This window comes from Homo sapiens, chromosome 18, assembly GCF_000001405.40.
Source record: "Homo sapiens chromosome 18, GRCh38.p14 Primary Assembly".
Lineage (NCBI taxonomy): Eukaryota > Metazoa > Chordata > Mammalia > Primates > Hominidae > Homo > Homo sapiens.
This window is the reverse complement of record NC_000018.10, coordinates 69,910,029-69,937,465: the sequence shown is the minus strand read 5'-3', so window position 1 is coordinate 69,937,465 and position 27,437 is coordinate 69,910,029. Positions and strand designations below refer to the sequence as shown.

At 39.6% G+C, this 27,437-nt stretch overlaps 1 protein-coding gene across 8 annotated transcripts in view, besides 2 other annotated features; it reads left to right on the top strand.

Moving 5' to 3' along the window:
- CD226 (CD226 molecule) overlaps positions 1 to 27,437 on the top strand; it is a 108,500-nt gene that overhangs the window by 24,308 nt on the left and 56,755 nt on the right. The window lies entirely within an intron of this gene.
- Positions 1,095 to 2,294: an enhancer, noted in NCBI's record as "P300/CBP strongly-dependent group 1 enhancer chr18:67602408-67603607 (GRCh37/hg19 assembly coordinates)". NCBI's record gives its function as "activates an origin of replication core promoter dependent on BRD2, BRD4, P300/CBP, MED14 and CDK7 cofactors, with strong dependence on P300/CBP, by STARR-seq in HCT116 cells {active_cell/tissue: HCT116}" and the evidence as "EXISTENCE:reporter gene assay evidence [ECO:0000049][PMID:35650434]".
- Positions 1,489 to 1,708: an enhancer, noted in NCBI's record as "active region_13476". NCBI's record gives its function as "activates an Ori minimal core promoter by ATAC-STARR-seq in GM12878 lymphoblastoid cells {active_cell/tissue: GM12878}" and the evidence as "EXISTENCE:reporter gene assay evidence [ECO:0000049][PMID:35858748]".

The following is a 27,437-nucleotide window of genomic DNA, read 5'->3' as shown; positions in this document are numbered from 1 at the left end:
TTTTACCTAGGAAATTCAGGGCAGAGTCCCTGAAAAAGTGGAATTTGAACTGCCAACCCAGAAAATTTGGATGTTGAGATTAATAGGCACTATTCCAGGAGAATTGCTTTAGAAAATTATCTAGAAAATAGACAGCTATTTTCTAGATAGTAGGCTCCAGTGTAACCTACTTTGGAAGATAATTTTCATTGTTCAAAAGGACCCCAACAACAAAACACCAAAAACCTCTAAAATTGAACCAACACATAGAATTGATCAACAAATTAAAGCAATTTATTCCGGTTTACAATTCATGGCTTGGTTGACATGTTGAATTGCTGCTTCAAAAGGCAAGGGAAGCCAGATGCACTATGCAATTGTATTTTACAACCTATCTTACGGTATTTGCACACTTTCATTTCGGCTTTTGTTTTGCCTATCCCAAATTCAGAAGGAAGGAAGAAAACATACGAAAATGACACTATCATATCTATTAATGACAGGTGAAAGTGATGGAGGAGGAGATTTGGTCTGAAAGGCTATTGCCTGTCAAAGGAAATTTCAAACAAGGTTAAGAAGGCCACAGAGAAAGAGTCTTTCTTATTCTCCTGTTATAAGGGTCACCAATTCCTGCTAGCTTCCTTAGTCCTTGTGTAGACCTTTTTCAGTTTTGTCTATCATATGTATCTCTATCACTTTTAATTTTCTTAAGTCAGATGGAGAAATAAGAAAAAAAGTCATTCCAAGTCAACTGATTAGAGAATGAAGCCATAAGCTCTCTCTTCAGGCCCATTCTGGTGAGATTAGAAATAAGTCATAAAGGTTTTATATATCCATGTGTGTGTGTATGCATGCACACACACAAGACTAAAAAATGTTACATTTTAGCAGTTTTTCATTTAAAGAAAAAAATACTAAATGGTACCTATAAGGAATCCACAAGGGATGAAGCAGAAACATTTTAAAGGCTTAAAAATCTCACTCCGTAATGAAATAAAATAGTATATAAAGAAGGCAGACGATAAAAAACATTTTAAGACTCACAGAAAGCAAGGTTATGGTCACTGCACTTCTCAAGGGTGAAGTAAATGGGAAACTGAAAGTGGATGGTTACCAGAACGTGTGCCAAGGTTGTTTTTATCCACGTGCTTTCCCTGTGCTAAGCCCAGGAAGGAACAGGCACAAGAACACATGTCACTGTGGGAATCAACCCTCAGGCTTTCAGGCAAAGCTCTGTAATCAAAAATCAAAAAAAAAGAGAAAGTTTAAAAACTCTCTAAAGCCAGATAATACTAAATTTATATACACAATTGAATTCAATAATCGAATGGCTGATACAGTGGAATTCACGTACAGGCACGGGTACAGGCTTGGATTTTTGGGGATTGAGATTGTCCGTCTGTCTCGATGCCTGGGTTTCTCTCTACCTCCTTCACCTCCTTTATGCCCCGTGAGACACCCCAGTCTTTGACACTTCTGAGCTGTAGCAAAATCCAGAGGAAACTTTTACTTTGGGCTTGTTGTCAAATGCAGTCAGGCGAGCCAGAGCAGGGAGTGGAATTGGCTGCCATCTTTGTGTGCAGCCATTTTGTTTATTTATACTACCTATGTAAACTTGAAACTGTACCCTTCTTATTGTAGGTATTTATATTTTCAAGATGATTGTAGAGTAGGGGTATGCTTGGCTGAATTGATAGAGAATGGGCTACAGCTGAAGCTTCGGACACTGATTCTCCTGTGACCTCAGAACATTCTGTGAGTATAGCTGGAAACTACACAGTTCTTGGTTTTTCCTCCTTCAACTCTCAGTGATCAAGACAACTCACACCTTTACCACAACAGCTGTTTACCCAGCACTGAAGGCGGCTGCCAACCACAACATGAGGAATACATTTCCTCTTCAGAATGGGTGTTGGTGGTGTGTGGGTGCCAATGCAGCGTGGGGACTGTGGCCTCACACATGAGTAAGAGCTGGTGTCCTATAGCCTTCAATGCCTGTCAAATAACTGTGGAACATGTTCAGCCCACACACGTTGAGACTCCTCCTCAGACCATCTCGGCTTCTGTGATCTTTTAAAAAATTCCTCACTTCAAAGGTTGAGAGCTGCAGATAGTGGGCATTGTTCTCCAGCACTTGCTCTGGGAAACTTCCTTATAGGATTAGTGAGTAGGTGTGAGTGACCTTCAAAAAGGCCTTATAGGAATTTACCTCTTAACAGATCACATTATTAACTGAAAGTAACATTATAAATTGCATTTTGTAAAATAAAAAATGTGAGATTTGAGATATTCAAAAGCAAACAAAAAGAAAATAAGTAACTGAAGAAAGTCCAAAAGCTCTTAGCTGGTAAAGCTCTCAGTTTTTACTGATGCTTGGAGCTCCTCTGTGGCTTTATCTTTGAGTTAATGCTGTCCTGTGATGGTTTAGGTAGCGTCGATAAAAAGATCTGGTTTCTAAGTTATGGTTTTTGTTGCTGGTTTTTGTTTTTGTTTGGTTTTATAGGGAGAGGAGGTTGCAGGCAGAATGGCTTTTTCTTTCCGTGGAGAAAATGGTAGGAGACTATTTCTGAAGACATTTAAGATTTTGAAACTGTTAAGAATTTCAAGACCATCAAGTCAATCCTTCAGGGATCAGTGTGAAATTATTCCCTCAGGCAACATCTCTTCTACTTACTCCTGAGCAGTTTTAATTAAATAACTCAGTTGATGGGGCTTCTGGCACTTCCCTTGAGAGATTATTCACAATCCAATAACTCTTAATGTGAGAAAATTTTTCCTGACTTCAGCTATTTAACCAACTTACACTTTAAAAAAATCTTCTTTGTAATCTGCCTCGAGAGAAAGAGCCATGTTTCATAGAATACTGATATAAGAAGACTTCCAAGGATGGAGGTGTAAAACACAATATTCATACTTACTAGTGTTGTAAATAGCTATGTGCATCATATCTGCACACAGTGGTGACCGTGGCCAAACAGAATAAAATCTGGGCATTAATTCTGGGAGCATTTAGCTGCACCATTTAATGAGCAGAATCCTAAGAAACTTAACATTCTCATTTTAGCAGACAGGCTCTTAAGAACATACTTGTTCCAATTCTTGGCCAGCTACATAAAATTCTATATGCTACCAACACCGATATTTCCAGAATTGCTTAGTGAAGGGGTGTGCGTGCGTGTGTGTGTGTGTGTGTGTGTGTGTGTGTGTATCCTCTGTGTGGACAGGATCATTTCCTTCATGATATATAAAGAACCCGAGACTATAGCAAATTTTAAGTCATTTACCTAATTCATTTCACTAATAGGATACATTTATTTCTCTTTGCAAACTGGAAGCTCTAGTTGAATGTATACCTTTTTCATGTGAGAAACAGCCAAAGAATTCAGTTGTTGTATTGGTAATGTTAGTATATGTCTCCAAAAGAGATCCTTTGTAAAGTCCCATTAACTCCTGACATCAGATTTCTCAAAATACCTCTTTATTATCTTTTAAGAAACATAGTTGCTCATTTAAGTGAAATAAAGAATACTTAACATAGGGCTTGTAACTTCTTCCTTTTATTCTCTTTAAATCCTATAAATGTTTCTGGAAAGAGCAAACATTTAATAAGATGAAAATATTTTCAACTACTCACATTGTGTTTCTTTGTGCTGACACAGTGTTTGAATTTTCATTCTTAACATGGTCTGATTATTCTGTTTTCAGTGAAAATAGCAGAATTGAACTAAAGGGAAAATGGCTAAACCTTGTTGTTGCTCAAATGACACAGAGGTAATTGAATCTGCTTTATTGGATGAAGGATGATAACAGTAATTAAAAAATCCCTGTAAATCTTACCTAAATCTGTTGAATAGATATTATTGTTTGCTGTGAGGAAAAGAAAGAATGTATGCCTATACGCCATGTAAAACGTTTGGGCCAAGTGACTGTAATGCAAGGTGGAATTTGGAAAGTAGCTTAAAGCAAGGTTTGGGGAGTTGGAGGTGACAGAGGTTACTTCTGGTTTGGGGAAACCATGGCCTGGAAATATAGGTGTAATTTGGATGAATGGAGACAAGGGCTGGCAGGAAGAGGGAGGAAGTTCAAACAGGAAAGTGCATCACAAGAAACATCGCATACCAGGGAGATGCTCTTTGTGTTTGAGGCACATGAAAAACAAATTTGGCCAGAGGCTTAGGGGAAGGTCGGAGGGTGGAAGGTCCAGATTTTGGACTTCATTTGGTTGTTAGTAAAGTTTTCAAATAGTGAAAGTCTCATGTTGGCCATGATTGGGAGCCATGACCCTACCAACAGCACGGAGGATGATGTAGAGGTAGGAAGGCAGAAAGATAGGAGGCACAAAAGCAGGCAGATAGGAGACACGAAAACAGGCAAGAAAGTGGGAGGCCTGTGGCCCTGCAGTGAGGGAGGACACTGCCCCCACGGTGCAGCCCACCAGAGCAGTCTTTCCAAATTACACACCAGGAAAGCTCCCCTGCTGCAAGTTTCTCCTTCCCATTTCCCCGCTCTTTAATTCTATAAATGTTTATTGAATGTCTGTCATATGCTGGGCCTGTGTGAGGTTGGAGGCATACAGGAGAAATGTCCCAGTCCCTCATCTCAAGCTCAAGGCTCTGTGTGACTTGATGCTTACATTGTTTGTGTGCAGAGGACGGGAATTGGTGGAGCTAGGAGTGGGTCGTGACAGTGTATGTGTGTGCATGTGGGAAGGAGGGTTGTGGAGTGAGGGAAGGGGTCATTCAAGGAACTTCAGAGATCAGAAGACACGAGAGCTTACTCATGAGGGAAGATGAGAACGGACTGAAGCGTGGTCATGCTGTTAGCTGGATGGCATTCCTGCTGGAGGGAAATCATGCTAATGGCGCAAAAGCAAAATGAGGCTGGTGTGCTTGGGAATTGCAGGATGGATCATAAAGCCTGAGTAAAAGCTAATTTAAGTGGGTAGTGGTGCCAGGTGGTGAACTTGGAGGGGTGGATAGTGGTGATAAAGAAATTTGATGTGTGATCAGCAGGAGCTCCAGATTTTTGCTTAGAAGAGGGGGCATTCAGAACACTTGATTTGGAACTGCATGTTCACAGCAAACCCACATGCTTACTTAGATGCATTTTCTTTGCAGTGGGCTGGGAGTAGGAGCTTTACTTCCCTCTAGTTACATTGTCGTGTCATGTCACAAATGTACACTATTCTAAGATATTTTGACTTTAGATTTTAGGCAAGGGATTTCGATTAGTCTGCAGTTAGAAAGAGCACTCAGACAGGGTTTAGAAGAGAGATTGGAAGTAAGAGAGAATAGAGGAAAGACAAGTCAGGAGAATTGTGTCCCCAAGTTTATTTGGTGAAGTTGCAACTCCTGATATCTCAGAAGGTGACTATTTGGAAATGAGGCTTTTAAAGAGGTAATTAAGTTAAAATGAGGTTATTAGGGTGGGATCTAATCCAATATGACTGGTTTCCAAATAAGAAGAGGAGATTAGGACACAGAGGGTCATCTGGAAACCAAGGAGAGAGGCCTCAAAAGGAATCAACCCTGCTGGCACCTGAATTTTGGGTTTCTAGCCTGCAGAATTGCGATAAAATAAGTTTCTGTTGTTTAAGCCATCCAGTCTGTGGTACTTTATTATGGCAGCCCTAGCAAACTAATGCAGAGGTGATGGGAATAAGTCAGACAAGCGATGAAAAAGAATTAAACTAAGGCAGCTTAAGTGGGGATAAAGCAGATGGGGCATATTCAAGATGAATTTTATTCCTAGTGTGTTCTTCATTATTCTGAATTCTTCCCCTCTTGAAGATTCAGGTCTTACATTTTAAAAAACTATTACAACTGCCAGAGCTTTGGCTCAGAAATTGCTGGAACACTGCTCCCTGCCTACTTGCTTTGTCAAAGTTTCACTCATGGTTCTGTCGGTCTCTCTACCTTAATTTGTGTTTTGCAGTGCACACACCTCCATCTTTCCCAGAATTAGTACACTTAGTTATTTTGTAATCTATGCCTGATGCTGTAATATTAAAGTAGTTCTATCTCTGTTGTCTGTTTTTTTCTTCTTTGCTCAGTTTTTTTTCTTCCTGTCATTACTTTCTTTTCTTTTTTTTAAATTTTATTATTATTATACTTTAAGTTTTAGGGTACATGTGCACAACATGCAGGTTTGTTACATATGTATACATGTGCCATGTTGGTGTGCTGCACCCATTAACTTGTCATTTAGCATTAGGTATATCTCCTAATGCTATCCCTCCCCCCTCTCCCCACCCCACAACAGTTCCTGGTGTGTGATGTTCCCCTTCCTGTGTCCATGTGTTCTCATTGTTCAATTCCCACCTATGAGTGAGAACATGCGGTGTTTGGTTTTTGTCTTTGTGATAGTTTGCTGAGAATGATGGTTTCCAGTTTCATCCATGTCCCTACAAAGGACATGAACTCATCATTTTTTATGGCTGCATAGTATTCCATGGTGTATATGTGCCACATTTTCTTAATCCAGTCTATCGTTGTTGGACATTTGGGTTGGTTCCAAGTCTTTGCTACTGTGAATAGTGCCGCAGTGTTTGTGGTTATTTTTCACTGTGTGCTGCTCATAGTCCTTGATAAAGCCTTCTGGGGATTCTCTGAAGTCTAACATGAAGGGACCTTTGTTCTCAGAGGAGTCGAAACCTGGATTACTTTCAGCCTGAGCTTTATGGAGCACCTGTACTATGGGAATTTAGGCTATAAATCCACATGAGGACTGATTTGTGCTTAGAACTACTCAAGGATTTTCTTTCTTTCCCTTATTCACCTGGGGATGCGGGTGAGCACATGCTTATTTCCAGGTCATTGTTACCATGAAGGAGTATCACTTAGAGGTCTCGACAAGACAAGAGGAAGGTCTTCTTTTTAATTCTCACTTCAGGTAGGTCCTGGGTTTTGACACCTATTTCTTTCGTGTTGTATGAGGTTCAAAAATCAGAGTTCACGTTGCTTAGACTGGCAGGTGTGCTCAGGGCAGAAGTGGCTTCCACGTCCCTATGTCTCTAGTTTTTCACTTCTACCTGGATTTTTCCGGTGGTCCCTGTGTTCTCAGAGATTTGATGCTTTTGCTCCTTTCACAAATACATTTGCTCCTTTCACAAATCTGTCCTGCTCCCAGTCTTTCTCATTTGAGTCAATATTCCCACATCTTAAAAACATAGAAGTCATCTTTTATGCTTTGTTTTGCCTCATTTTTCACATCTAAGTGTCTAGACTTGCAAAATAGACACCTCATATCCATTTATCTCAAACCATATTGCAACAGCCTTCATTCAAAACACTCATCTTTTACCTCTTTGTATTTTTTAAAAAATATTTGTCATCTAGATGCTTTTACCTGAAAGTCTGATCTGAATAATGTAGCCCATCATCTTCCCAGGAATGATGTATCAAATACCCCAGTTTTTGGACTCTTCTCCAGTCCCAGTAGGATTTTGTTTGTAGTTGCCCGTGCTCATGGTGCAGAGGAGAGATGCCAGACCTCCTTCATTCTTGATCACCTCCAGAGATGGCATGCAGCCTGTGGAATTTCCATATTTCTGGGAATGAGCTCAGACAATAGGCTAGAGAGAGACACACAGAGACAGAGAGAGAAATTGAGAAATGACAGATTTCATAATATATTCGATGTTGCGTGTGAAATAGAAAAGGGATTCAAGAGTGGCACCAGGTTTTACTTGGGATCCTGAGTAGATGGTGCTGTCATTGACTGCATCAGGGAGAATGAGATGAGAAGCTCCGGAGTGGGGTTGAATCGTTTAGGTTTAGACATCCAAGTGAAGCTCTCTAGCAGGCAGGAGGATTTTTTAATCAGAACCCAAGAGAGAACTTGGGTTGGAGATGCAAATGTGGTAAAGTCATGGGTGTACGAGTATGCACAGAGAGCTTTGGCTAGTCTTCCTTCACATTCATAACCGTTGAATGTTTATTATGTGGCAGCCCTGGGCAGGGCTCTAAAGGCTTTACATTGATTATTTCATTTAACCCTCACATTGTCCCTGTGAGGGAGATAGTATTATTAATACATAATTTAAAAAGCAAAATTTAAAAAGTGAGGATAGACTATGGAGCATATAGGGAGAAAAAGGACCTAGCACATGAGAGTGACTTGATAAAATGATGTTACAAGTACATGAAGAAATCAAGATGGAAGGGATGTTACTAGATCCAGGGTGTCCTCACGATCCACACCACAGTTTGCAAACAAGTGGCCTGTAACACCCATTTCATTTGACCAACACATTTTTGGAAGATCAGAAACACTCATATGCACATCTGGATGGACTATTAATACTGCCATAAGTTTTCTGCTTGGCAGCATTTTCTAGGCTGGGTAGCAGCAACCTTTTTGTAAATAATATATTCCTGAGTCACCCACAATCCCCACTCTTCCCTATTGTAATACCTTTGGCTCTGGTCATTTCCATGATCTTCCTGGACCCTCTGGGAATTTGTCTTTGGAGCCCTCACCTACGTGGTTAATCTTGATTCTTACAAGTGCTGTTCAAGGTCTTCTAAGGCTTGGTCCCTGCATACCTTCCAAAGTCACTTTGCATTCCTTTTTTTCAGCCAAACATGGTTAAGTGCAAATTCCCTAGGCATCCTCTGCATTTCTGAATTGTAGATATTTTTGCTTGTGCCTTTTCTTTCCCTTACTCTTTCACTCTGTGTACTACAGACTGAATATCCCAAATCAAAAAATCTGAAATCTGAAATGCTCCAAAATCCAAAACTCTTTGAATGCCAACATGATGCTCAAAGGAAATGCTCATTGGAGCATTTTAGATTTCAGATTTTTGGATTTGGGATGTTCAGCTGGTATGATGTAAATATTCCAAAATCCAAAAGAATCCCAAATCTGAAACACTTATGTTCCCAAGTATTTTGGATAAGGGATACTCAACCTGTACTCATTCTTCAGCTAAGGAAACATTGTCCCACCCCTAAAACAGGAATCCATGTTTCCTGCATTCCCCCGGATGTTGTTTGTGGCCACCTTTTCATTGAACATATTTTATTTTCCTTGCATTCCATCTAGTGATTACCATTGCCATCTCCCTCACCGCCTCCTGTCCTGAATGAGGGCAGGCCACATCCCATTTCCCTCTTCATGATCCCAATAATGTTGGGAACAGAGCTTTGCCCTTAGGAGACATGCTCAATAAAACAGCAAAAGAGTTGGGGTGAAGTAGGGGGAGTGATAGAAAATGATCAGCACCAATTGCTGATCTGTACATAGGAAACGTATGAATTCCATATGTAATTAAGTAGAATAGAACAGCTGCCTATGAGTACTTTCGAGTAAGTGAAAAGTATTCCCCTGGGTGGGAACAAAGGTTTATAGCTCATCATATGTGAAACATGGTTTGAAGTGTATTTGGATATGAATTTGTCTTTCTAAATGGTTTGAAACTTATCTACCGCTTTTCTGCATATTTCATAGCTTAATGAGATTCTTCAGTATTTCACCCACTAGTTTGTTATTTTACCACTCAGAGTGGTTTAGTGTCATTTGCAAGTTTTTGATAGGGATATTTATTAGCACATTATTTGTAAACATATTATGTGAACTTAGTACACTCATGTTCATAACAGCATTATTCACAACAGCTAAAAAGAAGAAGCAACCTAAGTGTCTACGGAGGAATAAATGGACAAAATGCAGAATATCTACAGTGTATATCTATTATGCGTATATGTATATAAAATGTATGTAACATGTAGAATATATACAATGGAATATTCTTCATTCTTAAAAATGAGGACTATTTGAACACATGCTGCAACATGGGTGAACCCTGGGGACATTATTCCAAATGAACAAAGCCAGTCACAAGACAACAAATACTTTGTGATTCCACTTATATGAGGTACACAGAGGAGTCAAATTCATTGATTCAGAAAGTGGAATGGTAGTTGTCGGGGGTGGGGGATGGGAGAACAGGGAGTTGTTTAATGGGTAGGATTTCGATTCTGTGAGATAAAAAGAGTTCTGAAAATTGGGTATACAACAATGTGAATATACTTAATGCTACTGAACTGTACATTTTAAAAGGGCTAAGATGGTATATGTGTGTGTGTGTGTGTTTGTGTGTGTGTGTGTGTGTGTGTGTAGTGTCTTAGTCTGTTCAGGCTGCTATAACAAAGTACCTTAGATGGGTAATTTATAAATAAATGAGTTGTATATCTCACCGTTCTAGAGGCTAGGAAGTCCAAGACCAAAGCACGAGCAAATTTACTGTCTAGTGAGGGGTTGCTCTTTGCTTCCAAGACGGCGCCTTCTTGCTGCGTCCTCATATGGTGGAAGGGGCAAAGCAGCTCCCTTCAACATCTTTCTGAAGGGCACTAATCACATTCATGAAAGCAGAATTCTCAAGACTTAATGATGTCCCCAAAAGCACCATCTCTTAATACCACCACAATGGGGATTAGGTTTCAATATGAATTTGAGAAACATTCAGATCATAGCAGTGAGCTTAGTTCCAGGATTATTTCAAGGGAAATTTCATTGTTAACAATTCTTTATTTAGAGAAATTCCTGCTATCTATTGTTTTGGTTCTTGTCTTTATTACACGAAAACAAAAAAGGATTTGTTGACACAGAGCTTTGAGTTCTGTCCTGCTCCTAACTCATCTGGTGATGTCTGAAAAGTTTCTTCATTTTTCTGAGCTTCAGTTTACTCATGTATAGAAAGTACTCATGTATAATATGTACCTTAGGGGAGGCATGAGAACTAATGAGATAATATACAAAGATCCTATATAATACTTGGCACATGGAAGTTGCCCAGCACATGATGGTTCCATTGAATTCCCTTTCCATGTTCCCTGAAGAATTAGATATCTTGTTGAGTCTGAAACTTCAACTCATTTCAACTAACACATATTTAGCTGTTACCACTTGCCAGGCATTCCATCAGGAACTGGAAATATTAGGATGAATGAGATATTATAGCTCCTGCCCTCCTCCCTATCATATGTAAGTAGACATTACATGATGGTATGAAATAACGCTCTCATGGGGATAATGCCATAAAGGGGACTCTCAGAGTCCTTAAGATGACTGTTGTCATTCCTCATTGTTCAAGTTGGATGGAAAACACATCTGACAACTAAAGAAGTAGGAGTTAGCCAAAGAAAGGGCAGGGTGTCCTTGCAGTAGGAATAGCAAGTGCAAAGGTCCCGAGAAGAAATACAAAGCGGGAGATGTAAGAGGATGGAAAAGCAGCCCATCATCCTGAAACATAATGTATGAGGTGGGAATGGGATAGATACAAGCAGAGAGGTAGGCAAAGACCTGATGCTGAGTGGTTCTTTGTTGTTATTGTTGTTTTGAGATGGAGTCTCACTCTGTCGCCCAGTCTGGAGTGCAGTGGCGCAATCTTGGCACACTGCGACCTCCACATCCTGGGTTCCAGTGATTCTCCTTCCTCAGCCTCCCGAGTAGCTTGGATTGCAGTTGTGCGCCCTCACACCTGACTACTTTTTGTATATTTGGTAGAGATGGGGTATCACCATATTGGCCAGGCTGGTCTCGAACTCCTGGCCTCAGGTGGTCTGCCCGCCTCGGCCTCCCAAAGTGCTGGGATTACAGGCAGGATCCACTGTTTCCAGCCTGCTAAGTGATTCTATGTGCTGTGGTGAGAAGTGCATACTCACCATAAGGGGACTGAGAGTTTATTGAAGGGTTTTAATGTCTTGAGAGAGAGATCAGATTGATGGTATCGTGGACTGTCGTTCATATGGGAGCGAGACTGGAGTGAAGGAGGCTGGGCAGAAGTCTATTTTAGTAATATAGTAGGGATGGAGCAGAATAGGGCAATTTGTATAGAGAGTGTAGGGTCCATGTTTGAGAGATGTTTAAAAGGTAGAGTTGACGGGATCCAGCAACTGATTGGATGAGTGAGAAAGGGAAGAGGTGTTAAGAAGGATACCCAGTTTCTGAACAGTGGGGAGAGTAAAAAGGAGCCAGTTTGGAGAGGGGAATATGGTTTTGGAATATCTGTGAATAGAAAGTGGAAAAAAAAAAGAGCTTGAAAATCTAAACGAGTTTTTTCTTTTGTTTCTCCTTTGACATGTGATTTATCTACCCAGGAAATTCTAGCAGGTGAATTTGCATTCTTTTTCTTTGCAGAGATCATTCTGCATTTCTGATCCTAGTTTGTATTTGGTTATGCACGAAGTACTTGTCCCAGCACATTCTCTCAGTTTTTTAGACATAGCAGTGAGACTCTCTGGCTTTAATTTCATGACCTACCTAGAGTTCCCCTTTTGGATGGCACCCATTGAAAACACACTCATTCTGAAGCATGGTGGCCATTTGCAAATATCGGAAGTGCATTTTGTCCAACAGGTTGTCTTGTAGCACCTGCAAAGCAAGCTGAGTGGAGGATTTTTGTTCCCGGTGAGAACGTTTTGTTCAGTTCATGAGTTAGGTCAAAGGCTTATTTATTTAAAGTAATATATGTTGCTTATCTGTTCTAATGGAAAATTCAGGAATTCTCTAATCACTTTTTCCAAAAAGATGAAACGAATCCCTTTAGTGTCCTTGTTACTCTGTTTTTATTCACTGAAAAACTTTTGTTGTGTATGTTGTTTTCAAATGCCATGCAGTTTCTCTCCCTCTCTTTCTCTTTTTGATGTGCTGAAAAACTTCTCAGCATTTACTTTGGAGTGCTATGTGAGATAGTTTTCAAACACTCTTTGGGCCTCACTGCTTATTTGTACCTCTGGGCTTTGCAGTTCTCCCCAGTTTGAATGATTCTTTTTTTTTTTTTTTTTTTTGGCAATACCTTCATCCTACTGTTGCCCTTTGACTTTGTCAGTTCAGCCATAAGGGGTTTTATTTGAAGCACTTGGCCCTTTAGATCTGTTGGCATATATTTTCCCTGGACTTTCAAAAACATGTTTTGGTTTTTTTTTTTTTGTAAGTCTAGGGGTTTCTTTGGGATTTTTACCTTTTCAACTATACTTTTACTTTTTTAACCAGAATATTTGCATTTTATTGTAGTTTTCATTTGTAATTATGCAAAAATTTCCAATGAACTTTTGACTTTGCCTTTCTAGTCAGAATCACCTTTTGTCATTTGATCATGACAGATGATTCAAAGTGCATATTGTATATATCTATTTCATTCCGCAATGCAATATAAATTTCCATATATTTTTATTCCTATAAATTCAGGAGCCAGTTATGTGTAGTACAAATGTAGTGTGTCTGTAGCTTTTTCAGAGGTAGAATTCAAGATACGATGCAGATAATGGAAGTAGTCCGTTAGTCCTTCCTAATTTAATTTTTCCATCTGTCTCATTTTGCATAATATTTTCTTCTATGACGTTGGCTCGGTGGTCTATGGTATAATTCAAGAAGCTCGTTTCTCCCTTGTAAAGTGTTGAGGTTTCTGTTGGCAGTTGCTATTTAGATATGAGTTTTGTGGAAGCCATCCTCGATAAATGATGCTGCATCTGTTTTTATTTTGAAGTCTGAGGACACAATACTCCATTGATTTTTTTTTTTTTTTTTGAGACGGAGTCTCGCTCTGTCGCCCAGGCTGGAGTGCAGTGGCGCGATCTCGGCTCACTGCAAGCTCCGCCTCCTGGGTTCATGCCATTCTCCTGCCTCAGCCTCCCAAGTAGCTGGGACTACAGGCGCCCGCCACTACGCCCGGCTAATTTTTTGTATTTTTAGTAGAGACGGGGTTTCACCGTTTTTAGCCGGGATGGTCTCGATCTCCTGACCTCGTGATCCGCCCGCCTCGGCCTCCCAAAGTGCTGGGATTACAGGCGTGAGCCACCGCGCCCGGCCTGATTTTTATTGACTAACCTTTTTCCATCCTAAATCAGATGTGTCACTTCTATCGAGGTTGTCACTTTCTTGCAAGTTTCCCATTAATCCTCTTAATTTTTTTAGGCCTCTGGGATTTCTGGAGATAAAGTTATGAATTTCCATTGGTCAGTTCTCAGATAGAGAAGGTGATAGAGGCTTCACTAGAGAACAACAAATGTTTTTAAAAAGGCCAGAGCTGATGGGGTAAGGCAGGGATAAAAAGAGGACGTTTTCGCAGTTGGTTTTGAGGAGGGGGCAGGATTCTAACCAGTGAGAACTTCAGCCCTGCATTGATCCCACTCCTGGCCCCCAATTCTTGTCTTCCTGCAACACGACACTTGCCTTCCAACATTATGATGCCATGTTTTGCTATTTTGTTATCAGATTTTCTTTCCTTCCTTCTCTCTCTCTCTTTCTTTCTCTCTCTCTTTCTTTCTCCCTTTCCTTCCTTCCTTCCTTCCTTTCTTTCTTTCTCTCTTTTTCTCTTTCTCTCTTTCTTTCTTTCTTCTTTGACTTTTTTGAGACAGAGTCTCACTGTTGCCCAGGCTGGAGTGTAGTGGCGCAATCTCGGATCACTGCAACCTCTGCCTCTTGGGTTCAAGCCATTCTCCTGCCTCAGCCTCCTGAGTAGCTGGGATTACAGGTGCCCGCCACCATGCTTGGCTAATTTTTGTAATTTTAGTAGAGATGGGGGTTTCACCATGTTGGCCAGGCTGGTCTCGAACTCCTGACCTTAGGCGATCTGCCTGCCTTGGCCTCCCAAAGTGCTGGGAGTACAAGGCATGAGCCACCAAGCCTGGCCAGTTATGAGATTTTCTTTTCAAAACTGCTCTCATGCCAGTGTTTATCAGCTCTCACTACTTGAAAGCTGTATGAGGGTGGAATTGGGTAGACTGCGAAGGGCCCCATTCCCAGGGGTTCGTTTTCAGCACTGTGCATCCTCACAATGGCCTGGTCTGTTTCTTGACTAGATAAGATTTGTGGAGAGATGAGTCCTCATTTCTCAAGTCCAGCATTTCCATAATTGTTCCATTTACAGAAGTCTGTTTTTAGTGTAAAACATTATACAAAGCCGGGCACAGTGGCTCACACCTGTAATCACAGAATTTTGGGAAACCGAGGCAGGAGGATTGCTTGAGCCTAGGAGTTTGAAACCAGCCTGGGTAACATAGTGAGACTGTGGCTCGATTGAAAATAAAAAATTATCCAGTTGTGGTGGTATGCATCTGTGGTCCCAGCTACTTGGGAGGCTGAGGCAGGAGGACTGCCTGTGCCCAGGTGCTTGAAGCTGCAGTGAGCTATGATCGCACCACTGGACTCCAGGCTGGGTGCCAGAGTGAGACCCTATCTCAAAAAATAAACAAACGAAAATTATAGACATTCAACAAATACTCAAGGCCTTACTTCTTGACAATGAAATCATTTGCCATTCCTTGAATTAGGCCTATATTAATATTTTTTAAATATTTATGCTTTTTAGATAGAAAAAATAAAAACATTTGCAATACATTTGCCACATTTCTGATGCTGTTAGAAAAACCTCCTGCATGTTTATTTTTCCAGACTTTTGTACACCTTAGTGCTCCGTTTAGTAAGTGTAACTAGTCCTTTATCATGGGGATTTCTTATGCTTGATGTGACTGGTAATAACGAGGTCCCTAAAACAGTGAAGATTCTTGGTACTTCCTCAAGTGGAGTTTTCCAAAGACAAAAATGGGAGCTTGTTTTTAATTTCTACCAAAAGAAACAAAGAAACAAAAATTCAAATTAAAAAAACCCATAAAATCCCCAAAGCCCAAACTAAATCAAAACAAAAAACCCGGAGGAAAGAAGTCAGTAGAGCAGTAAGACTAAGAATAAAGAATATCATGGAGGCAAATTATGCCAAAGAGCATTGGATAAAACTTGGAGTGTGTAGATTTGCATTCTTCCCTTTGACTTACAGTTACTTAAACTGACTAACAAGGAGACAAGTGATTTAAGATAATATTCAAAAGATAAGGCCAATCCACGAAGGGCCTCATGGGTCTTCCCACAGGGCAGGTGTGATGTTCTGCCTTGTGGCTCGGCCTGGGGGAAGGAGGACAGCCACCTTATTAAAGAGATTGGGTAGGAAGGTTAAAAGATGTGGTGCCCTCTTATATGACTAAGAAGTCATTCCTTCTGTGGAGATGCTTACAATCCAATGGCCCAATAAGATGTGTTAGCTTCTCACAGAGATGGCCAGAGTGCAGATAGGATAGGATGCAAACTGCGCCCCCAAAGCTGGCGAAGCTTCCCAGATGATCCCATGCGAGGAGGCCTTCAGGGTTTGAGGATCTCAGCAGACAGAACAACCTGCACGGGGCATGGAGGCGTGGACAAGAGAGGTGAACACATGAGGGCCTGGAGTGGTGGTGATTAATGGTGGTGATTGTGGGGCATGGACAGATGTAGTGAGAGGTGAGGGCAGAGAGAAGGAGGCTTAGAGAGAGATTATACTTGCATGAGTGTAAGAAGCTCCAAGTATTGAAACTGGTTTGCAAGCAGAGAGGTCCATGATCAGATTTACATTTGGGAAGAATTGCCCTCCCAGAGGAAACATTGGGTATAAGTTTTCATTGCCTCGGCATGAAGAACTGAGCAATTGCGTCCTGTGACGGCAGTGACCTGCAGATGGGAAAAAGACAAATACACAGGGCTGAGTTGTGCTGCATAAGCGAGATGACTTTTTTGTATAAAGGATTCCAGAATTAATAATTTGTAGTTATCATTTTAGGGAACATGTTGTGCTAGATGCTATTCATCTACTATTTGGGTACGTAAGTTTTTATTTTTGTTCTTTTAAGGAACTCAGTCAAATTTCTGTGTTCAAATACTGACTCTGTCTTCGCTAGTCATAACCCTTGTTACAATATCTTTAAAATGAGAGTCATAATAACAGTGCCTCAAATGAAAGGTGAGATTCAATAAACATCCGCTGCAAAGTGTTTATCACACATCGTGCCTCATTATAAATACTTAGTATATATTAAATTTTTTATTATGATTAATTGGCCCAAATAACAACATATAGAAGAATGAAGCAAAGTTATTTTTCTTTTGAGGAGTAATTGTAAGTACTACTGGGTATAAAGAAAAATACAGAGGAATGAATTTTCATGTAAGTAAAAAGGAGAAGTGTCAAGTTTTCTTATATAAAAATGAAGAAATGAATGCATTGGTGAGGCAATAAGTGATTCTATATTATAAACTCCATGAAGCATTGTTTTTATCTTGTATATAAATGGACATTTCAAGGCAGTAGGGGATGGATTTTCTATGGAAAATTCCTGTTTCATAATGTGAAGAACAAAGAGACCTCTAGTCTTTTTATCAAAGCAAATGGAAGTAGAGAAGTAAGTTCATTTGTAATATCTTCCCCAGGAAAGCAAAGCAGTTTAAAAAATATCTTCAGTTTTTCCTGTTTCTATTTTTGGGTTTGAGCCTGTGTAGAGAGTGACAACAAGGCTAGGCATGGTGGCTCACACCTGTAATCCCAGCACTTTGGGAGGCTGAGGCAGGCAGATCCCTTGATCCTAGAGTTCGAGACCAGCCTGGGCAACTTGGCAAAACCCTGTTGCTACAAAAAAATATAAAAATTAGCTGAGTGTGGTGGCACATGTCTGTTGTCCCAGCTACTTAGGAGGCTGAGGTGGGATGATGGTTTGATCCTGAAAGGTCGGGGCTTCAGTGACCTGTGATTGCTCATGGGCAATAGAGCGAGACCTTGTCTTTGGAAAAAAAAAAAAAAAAGAGTGACAACAAAAGTAGATGAAAGTAAGAGGATAACTCATGCTTCTTATAGTAACCGACTCTTTTTTGAAATAACTTCATTTAAAAAATCCTCATTCGGTGTTTGGTACTGTTCAGTAAATCACATCTCTTGGTACTAGTATTTATGACTCAGTCATGATAAACAATTTGCCTTGTCAGACTTAATAACCCTGGCCTGCATTGTTCAGCGAAATAAGATGAAAATGTGCTTTGCCTGGTGCCATTTACTTCACAGACAGATATTATGTTTTGTCTCTTCAGCATTTATTTACTCTTAAAATTTAGGTAATCTCCTTGCCTTCAGTTCTTTCAGAAAGTAGAATTATTCACTTTCTTTTGATACTAGACATTGTTTGAAGAGTTTTGTCTACTTCCTGGATGATCCTTTAAATATTATGGTGAAAATGAAATGGTTTGTCTTATGTGATAAATTTCCTTGGTTCAAGACTTCTTTTGACAATATTTTAGATATTTTTTTGTAGCTATGTAAACGGTCAGTTTTTTCCTTCCTATGTTTGAAAAAAGCTCCCTGACAGCGTTTCTGGAATGTTTAAATTGCCTGGGTTGCTCCGTTATTTTTCTTCAGTTTGAGCATTATGGAAACAGAGAGGCCACAACCAGTTCTTGGTTATCCTTGAGAAACGAAGTGGCAAATTAGCTGAGATAATATCCAGTACTCATTGGACGCAGTGCTTGAAGCCTCAACTGTCCGAACATTTTCTGTTTAAAGTGTTAACCTTTTTCTCAGTTTGCCATTTATTTCCTTTCGGCTCTTTTTTCTTCATTTGGCTGCCAGGTCCTCTGGCAGTGACATTATTTCCTAAATACTTCTTCATCTTTCCATTTCTAGGCCTTGGGAGGGCCCATGGCCCCCACCTCCTCTGATTGCATCCCATGTCTGTATCAGTGCAGCAACAATCTCAGCCCTTCCTGAAGTATCACTAGCCTGCCCCACACATTCAGTCCACGAAATTATACAGATGCGTATTGGGCAACAGTCCAGGCCTTCCACTTTCCATCTGTATTTTCCATGACTCCCCTATTTGCACAGGGGTGTCTATAAGTGCCCTGGATGCCTGCTGATGGCTGTGGCTCTGCTCCAAGTCAAGACATTGCTCTCTATCTGGCTCCTTTCCTACTGTGTCCCTGCACAGAGCTCACAGTGCATTTTACATTGTAAACATCTGTTTAGTTTTATGGCTTCCTTATTAGTTCCTAAGCCCTGTGAGGACCGAGACCATGCCTGAGGTATTATCCACTCTATCCTTAATAGCTGCTTTTTAATTAATTTATTTTTTGAGACAGAGTCCCACTCTGTCACCAAAGCTGGAGTGCAATGGCACAATCTCGGCTCACCGCAACCTCCACCTGCCAAGTTCAAGTGATTCTTCTGCCTCAGCCTCCCAAGTAGCTGGGATTACAGGTGCCTGCCACCACACCTGGCTAATTTTATTTTTGTATTTTTAGTAGTGATGGGGTTTCATGATGTTGGCCAGGCTGGTCTCAAACTCCTGACCTCAGGTGATCCACCTGCCTCGGCCTCCCAAAGTGCTGGGATTACAGGCGTGAGCCACCGTGCCTGGCCCTAATAGCTTCTTTAGTACTTCTCATGTACTAGGCCCTTACCAAATATTTTTGAACTGAATTTGTAATTGAAGTAGGTGACTCTTTTTGTAAGCTCTTTCAGGGACGTGATGGGTCTTGTCCCATCAACATTGCCTCACACATATTTTACAATAGACCCTTAAAAGTAGATTTGTTTAATTGAGATGAACTCACCTCCATGTTGAAGACTAAATTGGCTGTGCCCTTCTCCTTGCTTGGTGTGGCTGGTGAGGCACAAATTTAATCTCATATGGCCTTGGGTAGGTGGGTTCAGTGGGCAGCTGACTTGTTTTCAAGGTTTTAGAGCCAGGGGCTCTTGGTCATTATAAAGCTCTTTTGCTCCTCTTTGGAGTGAATTCAAACCACTCATTTTCCTTCACTATAACTTCCCTCTGTGATCTCAAAGCATAATCAACAATGGATTAAGTATTAGACAGGAGACTCAATCTTTGATCCTTTTCAATGACTCCCCCCTTGTCCAAGAAGCTGTATGAAGACTTAAAGATATATTTATACACATAACGCAGGTCATACCTGAAGTTCACAATGATAGACGAAAGCACCCATTTGGAAAAGTAAACTCAAACTATCAACTTAACTAAACTGACAGCGCTAACTCACTAAAATCAGGTAGGAGAACATATAAATTCCTGTGCTTTATTTTTAAAAAAGTCAACAGCTGCACAAGAGGCATATCTTAGGAGCAGCACTGTAAATGAAGAGGTGCATATAGGCTAAAATATGAGCATAAAGTGCATGTGTTGGGGGGGTGTGTAACCTAGCTTGAGGAGGAGGAGCAACCCAGGAAAGCTCAATGGAAGAGGCAGAAAGCAGCAGAAGGAGGGAAGGAAAGATGGTGCTGGGGGAGGGAGTGTCCTGGTCCAGAGTTCAGACGTGAGATGGAGTGTATGTGGTGAGTTGGAGGATCTGAGAATGAGCCCAGGGGCAAGGTGAGTGGTGGACCAGAGCTGACACTTGGAGAAACCATGACTACTTCTATTAGGCCTTAGAATATGTGCTGAGAAGTTTGAATTTTATCCTGGAGGCTTTGGGGATACATAGAATTTTAAGCTAGGGACTAATAGGGCCAGATCTGTTTTACAAAGATTACTCTGGCTGTACTATGTAATGTATATAGAGAATTATGACAAGGCCCTTGTCATTACCACCTGGGGAGAGGTGATGATAAGAACCTGTTCAAGTGGGAAAGCAGAGAAGTAGGCAGATGTAAGGCTATTAAGGAGGAGGAAGTGACAGGATTTGGGTGTGAGTGAAATGGGAGGGATGCACAAAGGAAGGAGTGAAGCTTGGCTTCAAATCTTGATAGCAGGTCATGTGGGGAGATGGTATTAACCAAGATAGAGATTGTCAGAAGGATACCATGTCACAAAGGTTCAGAATTCGTATGCAGAAAGTTATACTGCTCTCTCAACATCCCTTAAAGCAAACTTGATGAGCATATAATGAGTGCCCATTGGGTGCTCATATTGAGTATAAGAATCTCGTCTGTTCCCTTATGTACAAAATGTATAAAAAGGACAGTTCATGCCCCTAGTAGGTTGATACCCTAGTGGATGAACCGTGTATTTAGTATGAAAGATAAAGCTCAGATTTCTAGTCCAATGACTCATTAAAAAATATTGTGTGGTTTGATGCTTGTCTAAACATCAGGAAAACAAATATACTTTTTGTATTACTTTATGAATCAAACACATCATTGTTTCTTGTTGAGATGATAAATGTTTTGAGTCATGGCTTTCCGGAGGGTATTTTATTCAGTACAGATTAGTCTGACAGCCTATATTTTACCTTTTATTTTTTAAGGTGTATTTCACTTTCAGCATCCGAACTATATTTTGGGAGAGGAAATAGAGGGATGGTTAGATGGTCAATGTCATACTAAATTATTCTTTAGGACTAGAGCATTCTTAAATTCTATTATTTAAAATTGGTTTTGTCTTGTTACTCTTACATGATTTTATAAGTAACCACACACCAAATTAATCTTTTCCTGAAATATACATTGAAGTTTTTAGTTTTGTTTGTGGTATATTACAAATAAATCACAAATCAGTATCTGTGTGGTTATCTCTGGTTGCTGAAATCATCAGTGATTTATTTATTTGCATCACTTAGATGTCTAATTTAAACCTGCGAGTAAATTATTTTTGCTGTAAAATGCAATTGAATCTATTGACAGGCAAAAAATATGCTTTGTTCTCTTAACTGTTATTCTACAGTAATATACCTCTGAAATGAAATAGCACAACTGCAATAAACCTCACATTAGGGTATATCTGTAATCATTACCACTGGCTCTGGCACATCCTGTGATTTGATTCTGATCCCCAAATTTTATGGCTTTTTTGTTTTGTTTTGCTTTTAAAAGACAAACCTATAAATGTGAAAAATGTAATTCCAAGACAGTAGAGTTAGGAAGCCATTATGAAGGCAATTGTAGAGGAAAATTGAGAGTGTAAAATGATAACTTTAAAATATTTAAAATTATGGAGGTGGAAATTAAATTGCAGACTTCGGGGAAGTGCGTACTATGCAGGGGAAATGGAAGTCATCCCTAACTTAGAAAAAGAGTGTGTAGTGAGATAAAAGAGCCAAGGAGAATGGCAAACACTGAGCTTAAATATTTCAAAGCAACTATTTCAATTAGTTTCCGCATTTAAAAAATGGCGCGTAGCAATAGGACATATACCAATTCATAGGAAGCATATTTATCTAAGTTCTTTCTGACCTAGCTTCCAAAGGTATATTTGAGAACTAACTGTAATCTGGAAAAGAATTGTTTGTTTTCTCCATTTCATCTTTGCTTCCAGTGTTTACAATTTTAATGGGGCTGTTAGATGAATTCTGGCAAATGGAGAACCATGGCATGATAAAAAGTAGCTGAGGACCTTTGGTTAGTTATATTAACATTGAATTCATTTATTAGATTAAAAATACATCATATGGACTCTTTGATCATTTGCTAAAGTGTATATGCATTTCTGCATATTTTTACTCATTCTGCTACTAATAAAGCAAATAGCAATGATTGTCAACCCTATCAGATCCAATGTTCTCTTCTGTAATAAATACTTTATAAGTCTCCTTAACCATTTTGAAATCGTGTCCAGGTGCTATTGTGTGAGAGGGATAAAATGAAATGGTGAAATGTGTTCACCTCCATTTAGAATCACCGTGAACTATGACTAGAAGATGTGATTACCCTGAATGGCATTGTCAATCATTAACGATACTGTTTCCAAAATGAACAACTCTGGTAAAGCTCTAATACTTCAAAGTAAAATCTTCCCTCACTTTAAACTGAACAAGAGTAGAATTTCTAGAAAATCAGAGTATGCTAAGATAGTAAAAAAATATTTTTTTGGATGTTTTCTTGTGCCAATTTACTTTCAGGCGAGTCAGGACCTATTGCATTATTGATTTTAATTCCTTTGACTTTCCTTTGCAATTTCCTTGAGATTTGGCTCAGAATTTGGGACATTGTCTTAAATATAGTAGGTCCTCAATTGATGGTTATTTGTGTTAGTTACTTTAGAGCATGAACATTTCTGTTTTATTGGGAGTAACAGAATGACAGCTGAATGCAACTGAAATGGTTGTGGTTGTCATTCTCAATTAGAAGGAGGGCCAAAAGTCTAGTCTATCTTGCCTTTTCTTCTTTTTCCAATTTACTTCAGTAGAAATGCTTTTGTAAAGGAGCAATATATAGGACTTGGCACAAATACGGAACTCTGTAGCCCTTCAGTGAGAAAATTGGAAACTGGCAGAACTATCACAAGGAATTGCTAACCACAAAACTTGAAAATAAATATTCTCCTCTTGGTCCATGAACTCAATGGAATAATTGATATATGGTGTTCACTGTGAGTTTCTTTTCTGGTAGTGCTAATCAACTTGAACCAAGCTCCTCTTTGTCTTCCTCAAATTGCCAATGGCACTGATATGAGGTGATTGACTTGAAGCAGTCGAAGATCTCATCAAACTCATCAAAAATGTCAAGGTCGTAGAGTAGTTTTGCAGGTGTGATCTGAAATATTATATAGAAAGGTAGAATTTCAGAGCCAGAGATTTTTCACATTCTGACATAATACATACAAGCCAAATTCATAGATGGTAGTATAAATACTGGACATTTTAGATTATTGTTCCAAAATCATGCTATGAAAATATGATCACAGTGAGACAGCTTTCCAAATTTTGGAAATCTCTCTAATAGAAGTAGTGCATTTCCCCCAACTCATTTTGTTTCCAGAAACCTCATTAAGATCAATAGAATGATAGAGAAGTCGTGGGATGCCATTTTTTCCCCTTCACACTTTAGTAAGAAACATCTTCTTCCTTTTTCTCCCTTTCCGGTGAGGTTGTCTATAATTCTCCAATTCTTTTAGCACATCTGAAGCCCATCTTTCAGAGGGCTGGTCCCTTGCTCCATAATATGCAGGCTTAGCATTTCACTAGGACACTTGAGCCCTGCAAAAAGAGTTCTCTGCCCACACTGAACTCCTGCCTGCTCGTGAGGTCCATCCTGCAGAGACTTCTCCTGCCTCCTTCCCAACTACTCTAAGCACCAACTTACCCCACGCTTGTAATTTAAACAGTAATTTACAAAGGTTGTTACTCTAAGAGTATGGCATACGTTTACTGAGTTTGCTCTAAGATGATCTATTTTTTTTAAATAATGTTCACATGTAATGCATAAACATAGATTAATAAAATTCTAGAGTTGCTTTAGGCAGTTTTTCATTTAGAAAAAAGCACATGTTTAGAAAATAAAAAGTTTATTTTGTTTTCTAATTATGAACAGACCTGTCCTTTTCTCACTCTGAGAAATAAAAAGCTTAAATAATCCCATCTTTGATCTGTGCTCTGTGACAATAACAAATCCTTTAGGCACACTTATCTCTTCAATAAGGACTTTTTTGGTTTTCAGAGCTCTGGCGATCTATTTTCTAAAATGTTTCCACGTTCATTTTTCTTTCTATGATATCCTTGGTATTCTTGTGATGTCTCTCTCTCTTCTCCACTGCTATTGGGAAAGGTGAGGGTGTGGAGACGGGGAAGATGGCTGTGGTTGCTGGGCTGGCAGGTATGACGGCGCATCCCAGAGCCCGTTTATCCCACCATCTGGTGCTGGTGCTAGAGGAATCTGCCCATCAGAAGTGATCTTTTCTATTGTCCCTATTCATAATAAGCAGAGTGTCATTTAGATCTGGGAGTACCTTATTCTAGTTATAAGAAACCAGTGAGACAAACTGTTTGTTGCACTGAGTTCCCTAAATGCTCTTTATCTGCTAGCTCCTGGTTGTGCTGTGTGGTTCCTTTCCTAAAGCTGAGGAGAGAGAGAGAAACAGATCCCATTTGTTACAAGTGATTAGATCCAAAGACTGATTCTTCTCTTTACTTCTCTACCCTGAATTTCATCCTCTATAAAATGATACAATAATCCATACTTCACTGAATTGTAAATGTGAAAATGAAATAGTACTGCATATGCAAAGCATTGAATATAGTCACAAGCAGATAATAAGTCCTCAAACTATAGCTGTTATTATTATTAATCAGACCTAAAGACTAGATTATTATCATCTTTCTTAATAAAGATCATGAAATATAGCCAAATCCCTGAGCAAATCAGAGGTGACATTTGTTCTAGCCCTCAGTAGAGAGGAATTTTATGTCCAAAAATTTAAAGAATTTTGTAGCCTAGACATCTCAATCTCAAAATGTACAGAGCTTTGTATACCCTTTCTCAGAACTCAGGAAGGAAAAGATATGTGGATATAATCAAACAAACAAAAACATAGAAGGGGCATCATTTTAAAAATAGCCACTCACTTTATGACAACATTGCAGATTTTGATGTCTCCTGGGTTTTCACTAATTTCTTCCTGTAAGAAGGCTCAACCATTTTATGTTTAAATGAAGAAATGAAAGAAACACTTTGACTTTTGTTGCCATTGCTTTTGGTGTTTTAGGCATGAAGCCCTTGCCCATGCCTATGTCCTGAATGGTAATGCCTAGGTTTTCTTCTAGGGTTTTTATGGTTTTAGGTCTAACATTTAAGTCTTTAATCCATCTTGAATTAATTTTTGTATAAGGTGTAAGGAAGGGATCCAGTTTCAGCTTTCTACATATGGCTAGCCAGTTTTCCCAGCACCATACATATGTAACAAACCTGCACGTGTGCACATGTACCCTAGAACTTAAAGTATAATAAAAAAAGAAAGAAACATTTTGAATAGATATAAGAAAATGAAGATTTACTGTATTCAGCTGAACAAAAAGTTAAGTCCACAGCCAAGAAATATGATTAAGAGATATATTTTTGTGGGCAAAGACTCTTAGTTCAGTATGCTTATTAGTAATACACACACACATATGCACACACACATACACACATGTAAAATGAGCATATTCTATTTTATTTTGAGAAAAGAATAAAAATCACAGTTAAAAATGTATACCAAAGTATTTACCTCTTTATTTTAATCAAGTGATTAGAAAATACATGAAAAAGTAATACATGGGGCAGATAAGTGTGGTGAAAAGAGAGTTGCTTTGGATTAGAGTTGAGAATTCTGGCCTCATTTTGAGTGAATTGGGTATTATTCCAAACTTATATGAGTGTTAGCATTCCCGTGTGTGTGAGTATTGCCGACCTGCGGGGATGGGTGAAGTGGAGTGCCTGGCCGCATCAGTTGTGCCCACTCTGTGAACATGGACTTTAAGGTCGCTCTTCATATGTGGTTTGTAGCAATATCTGTTTAGGGTTTATTTTCAATTTGTTTTGGTCCCAACTTCCAAAAATGAAGAAGGCAGTTCCCAGGGCTTGCTAGGCTAATAGACTTTTAATAGCTCAATATTCTAGTTGGATAAATGTCAGCATTTGGAGAAAGGATGCCGGTGTTCAGTTGCTCTTTGCTAATCCACTCTATTACCCTTCCTCAAGGGAAAGATGGGGCTCTGTGGCAATCTCCAGCACCCCAAACCTGTTCCACTGAAGCCTTCTCTGAGTTTTTTGACAGTACTCACTTCAAAAAATAAGATTAACTCACATGTGCCAACATGGACCTATCTCAAGGAAGACAGAGAAATTTATACTTTTTAGCTAGCAAAATGTTGGACCATTTCAATTAACATTGTTTCTTGTGCACCAGTATGTTGAGCTAACTCACTTCGCCAACACCCAGTTTGCTATTTATGGCCTCGGTTCCACCCATGAGAACTCATTATTATTCCTCTTTCCTAACCGACTGCAGTGTAGTCCCAGCGTCTTGTGGTGTTTACTCCATTGCCTTGTACCACTCAAGATGGTGTTGCAAAAACATTCCTTCTGCTCTACCATCTGTCTTGTGTTTCTTTTCTTTTATAGACTCCCAAATCTGGCCCTCTTACCCTTCTAATAATCTTTAAATTTTAGAATATTTTTAGATTTACAGAAAAGTGGAAAAACTAGTACAGATAGTTTCCATATACCCCTTATCCAGTCTCCCCCATTGTTAACATCTCACATTATTGTGGTATGTTTGTTAAACCAAAGAAACTGAAACTAGTATACTACCGTTAACTCAGCTCTAGACTTTATTTGGATCCAAAGTGATTATGTTTTGTCCTCTTTCCTTTCCAGGGTCTCCTCCACCAGGCCACCACATTGCATTGAGTTGCCACTTCTCCCCAGTTTCCTCTGATCTGTGACAGTTTCTATCTCTCCTTGCTTTTCACAACCCTGTGAGGCCTGAGGAATACTAGCCCAGTGTCCTGCAGAGCATCTCCCAATTAGGGTTTGTCTGATGTTTCACTCATGATTAGACTGGGAATATGGAATTTTGGAAAGAATACCAGAGTCATGAACCCCTTCTCATCACATCATATCAAGGGGTACCTCATATCCACGCAGCGTCACTGAGATGTTGGTCTCCATCATGTGGTTAAGGTGTGTTTGCCACGTTTTCCCACTGTGAAGTCAAGTTCCTATTTCTCCTTTCTGTGTTCTAGTCTTTGGACGCAAGTCTCCAAGGTGTGCCCATCCTCACAGGGCTGCCTCCTTCTTTAGAAAACTACTAACACAGTGCACCAAGAGTATCAAAACAACATTTACAGAAATTTTAAAATGCATAAGAGAAATAAATGAAAAAAGTTCAGGCTGCCGTTCTTGTGTTTCCTCTTCCCGTTTCCTGTTCAACTCTCATTCAGAGCACACA